This window comes from Homo sapiens, chromosome 5, assembly GCF_000001405.40.
Source record: "Homo sapiens chromosome 5, GRCh38.p14 Primary Assembly".
NCBI lineage: Eukaryota > Metazoa > Chordata > Mammalia > Primates > Hominidae > Homo > Homo sapiens.
The window spans coordinates 115,456,532-115,463,127 of NC_000005.10; the positions used below are offsets into that span (position 1 = coordinate 115,456,532).

Genomic DNA, 6,596 nt, shown 5'->3' on the forward strand with positions numbered 1-6,596 from the left:
TTGATGAAGTGATTGGTAAATCCTCAAGAAACAAGGTTAGTGGGGAAGAAAAACAAATGGCCCTGCAATTTCAGCCCGTGGAAGAGCTTCTTTGGTCAAGGGCAGAGTGCCGTGGGAGCACAGAACTATCAGAACTGTGGACAGGTGTCAGGGCAGGCTCTAAGAGGAAGGCAGAGCCTGAGCCGAGTCACAGAGGATCAACAGGAGACGGCAAAAAAGGAGGATCCACTTCCTAGGAACAAAGGTCTGGGTGTCTCCAGGGGCCAAGTTGCCTCATCTGTTCGCCTAACTCCTCACCTTCAGCTCCACCCTCCAGGGGACCCCTTCTAAATCAAGCCTGTTCTTCCGGGAGGGAAACTGGGGTGTCTACCCTGAGCCCTAGGTTTGGTGGTGGCAGTGGGTGCCCCAGGATGTTGCAGTTATTTTTGATGGCTATTAATTTACATTACAAGCATACATACTTTCATAACATCTGGCGCATGCTGGCTGCATTGCTCTGGGCTCTGCAGCCCTCAAGGATTTGCCCTCCCTGGAATTCTTCCTGCAGTTTCCCCACAGTTCCCCTTAGGAGTCTAAACTTTTGTGGAGCTTTATTGATCCTGGCCCCAGACCATTCAGAAAAGGCACTAATTCAATTACAGCTGCGTGAAATCCTTCAGAGGCAGCCTAAGGAGACTGATTTTGATTCTCCTTTTCTGTGTCAGTGGTTTCCAATAGACAGTGTTTGAGAGGCAGAGCATATTCTCTTTAAATTATAAATAACCAGAACAGGGAAAAGAGGTGGCACTGGGAACGGGGCAGGAATGGGTAAATTTAAAAAAAAGCTGCAGCAAAATGATAAAACCCTGTGGCTTCAAAAATGTTTTATGAGTTTCTATAAGGCAATAACACAGAAGGGAAGGTCCTTTTTAAAATCTATTTTCTGAGATGGTCTGTGCTGTATACACTGTATACACATTGTGGCTAAATCTCTGAATTCCTAATACAGAGATTGAAACTAAAATCAAGAAAGCAGAGGGGATTCCACCAAAATCATGCAGACCATCAGGGGTCAGTTTGGAAACCACCAATCCTGTTTAGATATACAACCAACTGCTTCCCCCATTCATGGTGTCAGGCCTCTTTCACATTTATAGCGCCTGGAAAACTCCAAGAAAAGAAGATAACCTTACGTCGCAGACCCTGTTAAATTACAACCAGCAATGAGTCACCTGCCACCTGCTTTCTAACAGAACTCAAATTTTGCCTACTCTCCCAAGGATCCATGCACTTTAGGGATTGGCCTAAGCCTCTGGGAATTGGTTTGGCATGGACATAGGAACCAATGCTGGCCAACGAGACACACGGGCAGACTCCCGGGGAGGCTCCTTGGAAAGAGATCTTCCCATCTCTTCAAAAGATAAATAGACATAGATAGGTATAGGCATAAGCATACAGTAGAACTAAAATGAGAACATTTTGACTCATGTAACTGAAAAGTAGAGGCACTGCATGGGAAGAAGGATTGTGCTGGACTCAGAGTCCACAAAACTTGGTCTTTCTCCATTCCCAGTCTCCTTTGTTCTGAGTTGGCTTCGCACTCAGGAAGCCTCCTCCCACAGATGGTTCCCTATTAACTCCAAGTATGCATAATTTTACAGCCAGCAGTTCCCAGGTGATATGGTTTGGACGTGGTTCTCTCCAAATCTCATGCTGAAATGTGATCCCCACTGCTGAAGGGGGAGCCTAGTGGGAGGTGTTTGGGTCATGGGGGCGGATCCCTCATGAATGGCTTAGTGCTGTCCTTGCCGCATTGAGTGAGTTCTTAGTCTGTGATTTCATGTGAGAGCTGGTTGTTTAGAGTAGCATGCCACTCCTCCTCTCTCTCTTGCTTTGTCTCTCACCGTGTGACATTCTGGCTCCCCTTCGCTCCACCATGATTGTAATATTCTTTAGGCCCTCACCAGAAGCACCAGTGTTCTAGTAAAAGATCTAGGCTTGAGTTTTATCCAATCAACTTAGGAGATGTGTTCATCTCTCAGACAACCACTGTAACATGGGGAAAGAATATGCTAATTGTCCATGCTGGAGTTACTTGCTGGCTGCTGAAACAGGACATGGGGTGGAATCAGCCCACACAGACCACTTGCAGGAAGAATCAGGGAGGGGTAGTTCCCCTAAAGAAAAATGGAGAATCTGCTAGTAGAAGAAGTTGCATGGATGCTGGCCAGGCATGGGAGGTGTCCACAAAGCAGGGTGATGTAGATCATGGTGAGGAGTTGGGATTTTATACTATGAGCACTGGGAAGCGATCAAAGCATTTTAAACAGAAGAGTGATCCACTGACATATGTTCTGATGACATTTCAAAAACAAAATTCTTACTGCAGGTTACAGAAAGTACTTCAGGGAGCTAAGCTTGGAAGGATTGAAATCAGGGGCTATGATAGAATGACAGGCAGGAGAGCTTGGTGCCTTGAACCAGGGTGGTATTTGTAGAAATCAGAAAAACATGAACATATTTGAGATACTCTTGTGGAAGAGCTGATGTCACTTGTTGATGGATCAGAGATGGGCTAGTAAATGAAAGAAGTCAAGCATGATTCCCAGGGCTTGGGCTTGATCACCTGAGTAAATCATGATGCCATTTACCAACAGGAGAAAGACATGGGAAGTGGGAAGACAGGGATGAGCTGGGAGGGCAAAAATCAAGAGTTCTGTCATGAATACAGAAGAACAGTCTGTGCTGGAATTATAAATCCAGGAATCATCAGCATATAGACATTATTTAAATGAGAAAGACGGAATGAGATCACTCAGGAAATCATGTAGAGAAAAGAAGTGGGGGCACTCATACTACTTCACCAACAATTTCTCCACTCTGTCCAACCCGGTCCTCTTGGGTTCTGAGCAAATAGGGGTTCTCTCACCCCTGGACTTCTTTCTTGTGCCATTCTCATTGCCTGCAATGCCTTCCTCCCTTTTCCTAGTATCCCTGAATGCTCATTCTTTAAGGATCAGCTCAAATCTACCCTCTCCAGGAATCATGGGCCTTGTTTAGCCCCACTGCCAATGTCGGCCTCCTTGCTTCCCGTAACTTTGTTTATTCACTGCACATTTGGCATTTGTAAGTCAATGTCTTCTGCTCTGTGTATATGTCATATTTCTCCCAATTAGAGTATAAGCTCAGAGAAGGCAGTCTGGATGCCTTTACACTCCCCAGTATTTGGCAGGTTTTCCAGAAAAGAGTTAAAACAAACATCTGTTGATCAATGACCACATTCACTCTTATCTTCTCTTGCTACTTTTGTGCCAGTGGTTGAGAATTAATCTCAAATTCTGAGCAGCTCAGCAAGGGTGTTTCAATCAATTTCTTGAAAATAAGGCAGCAATTGTCAAATGCTTTAAGACACTTATGGCAAATAAATGCTTGTGGCAAATAAAAAGAATATGACTCACTTCATATTGAAAAGAACCAGATGAAAGTAGTTTCCCACAGAGGAAAGTCATAGAATTAAAATGAATGTCTATGAACCACTTCAACTATTTTTGCATCTACCCCTGAATAATATTCCACTTAACTGGAACATATCTCAGTGTGTTTGTGCCCATTTAACACTCCCTGTCTTCCCAACCCAGCATCTGTAACTTACAGCCTGTAGTCATTCCAAAATGCTTCCACGTGGCTAACCTGGGTTGCCAAGCCCCATCTGGCTCAATTAGCACTGGAGATTCTGGAGAGCCCCAAATTATCATTCTTTTCTGGTTGTACTACCAAAGACCTTCCCATCCTATCTCTTCCTCAAACTCCCTAAGTTCCATAGTTGTATTTGTTCCAATTTTGAATCCCAATAGTCCCCAGCTGTTTTAGATGCCCCGCCTCCCCACCCCCATCTGGGCTCTCCTGGCTGGGCTTCCCATGACAGTATTCTCCAATTAGGCAAATCACCCTTCAATCCCCAAATTTTCTTTAAAGCTGTAGCAAGTACACCCACAGTCGTGACAATACTGAATAAAATGGAATAGGTCTGATTCACTTTCCCAAAGCTGACTTTTGCTGCTGATTGACTCATATCTGTTTACCAGAGGTCATTTGATTTCCTCCTTTTGACTCATGCTCAACTTCAAAACTGATATAACTTGAGTGTGCCACTCGAATGTGACCTTCCTTTTTGCCTGCAGAACCTCCAGCTCCACTCAGCTCCTGGGGCTCAGCCAGCAGAGCTGTGCAGTGGAAAGGAATCCACCTTGGAACAGGATCCCTGGCTTTACCACTTCAATTGCTGAGTGATCTCCAGCTAGTTAGTTTCAGCCTATTTCCTCATGTGAAAAATTGAGGTAAAAATACTTGGAAATATTGTTGTAAAGGTTAAGTAACGTAAGAAAAATGCCTGGAACCATGTCTTCCACCAAAGTAGGTAGGGGCTCAACAAATATTGAATTGATTCATATGACATTGCCATTTATATAGGTCAAAAATGGCCAAATATTGACAATTTCATATGGTTCAACCTGCCATCAGCCTATTACTCAAGCACCTAAGAAATCAGTGTCCAATTGGTTGGAGTATTGGGTACAAACAAGGTAGAACCTTAGAGGTAGAACCCCAGTGTTGACTTTTATTTACATTATCAAAGAATCAAGGAAGGCCAGCACCCTACTATGCACTTTAAATTCTGGAAGATTTTCTTCACTCTTAGCTAGTTAAACAAAGCCGATTTAAGAGACAGGATAAAATTGTGGTTTAGAGCCTAGACTCTGGGGAGAGATTGTCTGGGATTAAATTCCAGCTCTGCTACTGACGAGCATTGTGAAACTGAGCAAGTTTGTTAATCAACCTGGGTCTCAGTTTTGTTCCCCGTGACATAGGATATTACAGGGTGTTGTGCAGATGAAATAAGTTAAAACATGTAACATTCTTAGAATCTGGAAGTGTTAACGATCATTATCTTGATTTAAAATAGGTGGTTTGGCCTGACTAGTTAGTGAAATCTCTTTCACAACAAAGCACCCATTGGGTAGAAATCAGAACTCCAGCAATGGAGAATCAGCCTCCCCTTGTTGATCAGTCCCAGTTTAGCAGCTGGGATACTCCTTGGGAAGCTCAAAGATGGTAGGTGTCACCACCCATGATAGCTCAGTGAGAATCCACCCAGCCAGTGATGAGTGCTTCAAGGGTGGGGCAGAGAATATCACACAGTCATTTGGAGCAGTGGTGATTCATGCACACCCTGAAAACCTCAACAGAAAAGAGATGGTAGCAGATGAAAAGGAAGAGGGATACAATTTCCACAACCAAGAAGAAACAGACACTGCTCATTCTGGTGAGAAATGAGAGCATAATTTGAATTCAGCATTTATTTAGAAAATCAGATTAATGAGGACAAAGACATCATAAGGAAAATAATGATAAAGACCTCTAGGCTTTCCCACAATCACTTTCATGTATATTATCAAACTATATCCACACACAAAAAGTCTCTGAGTCAGATAGGCAAAGCCAGCATTATTTTCATGTATGGATGAGGAACTGATGAATCATGGAGTTTGAATGGCTAACTAGAGTCTAAAAGAATGTAGAAACCCATAAAAGACAAAGAGAATAAAGAAAACAAGCAGACAAGAGAATTCCACACAAGTTTGAAAGATAGGACCAGATGGAGGTAAGTGGTTTAGTAAGACAGAGGAAGCAAGGATTTAAGTCACCTGAAGACAAGTTACCACAAATGAATTAGCTCATTCATCCCAATGGAAAACCTGAGATGCTCAAGATTTGGAGACAGCAGGTACAATGAAGGGTTGGGGTGAGGTAAGGAGCTAAAAATAGAAGTTGAAAGTTCGTTTGTGAAGCAGTCATGTTCTTCTCTCACCTTGCACAGTCAGGCCACTAGTTTCCCAGGCTGGTGATGAAAGAGTTTTTTTGTGTGTAATTTGAATGGGAAAGGCTTTGACTTGGGGCTACAGAGATAGGGGCAACAGAGGGGAGGGACATGGAAGTCTGCAAACTTAACCAACTTCTCTTCATTTCTCCCTCCCTACTACTCTTCTCCGCCTCACTTCTCTAAAGAAGATATACAAATGGCTAACAGGTATGTGAAAAAATGCTCAACGTCACTAATTGTTAGGGAAATGCAAGTCAAAACCACAATGAGATATCATCCCACCCCAGTTAGAATGGCTGTTATCAAAAAGACAAAAACTAAATGTTGGTGAGGATGTGAAGAAAGGGGAATGCTTATACACTGCTGATGAGAATGTAAATTAGTACAACTATTATGGAAACAATATAAAGGTTCCTCAAAAATCTTAAAATGGAACTACCATATGATCCAGCAATCCCACGATTGGGAATATATCCAAAAGAAAGGAAATCAGAATATTGAAGAAATATCTGTACCCCCATGTTTATTGTGGCACTATTCACAATAGCCAAGATAAGGAATCAACCTGTGTCCATCAACAAATAAATGGATAAAGAAAATGAGGTCTGTATATACAATGGAATGCTATTGTATATAAATACATTTTCAGCCATAAAAAACGAAATCCTGTCTTTTGAAGAAATGTGGATGGAACTAGGGGATGTTATGTTAAGTGAAATAAGCTCGGCAAAGAAAG

The 6,596-nt window shown here is 42.6% G+C and overlaps 1 annotated feature.

Moving 5' to 3' along the window:
- Positions 3,771-4,970: an enhancer, noted in NCBI's record as "P300/CBP strongly-dependent group 1 enhancer chr5:114795999-114797198 (GRCh37/hg19 assembly coordinates)". NCBI's record gives its function as "activates an origin of replication core promoter dependent on BRD2, BRD4, P300/CBP, MED14 and CDK7 cofactors, with strong dependence on P300/CBP, by STARR-seq in HCT116 cells {active_cell/tissue: HCT116}" and the evidence as "EXISTENCE:reporter gene assay evidence [ECO:0000049][PMID:35650434]".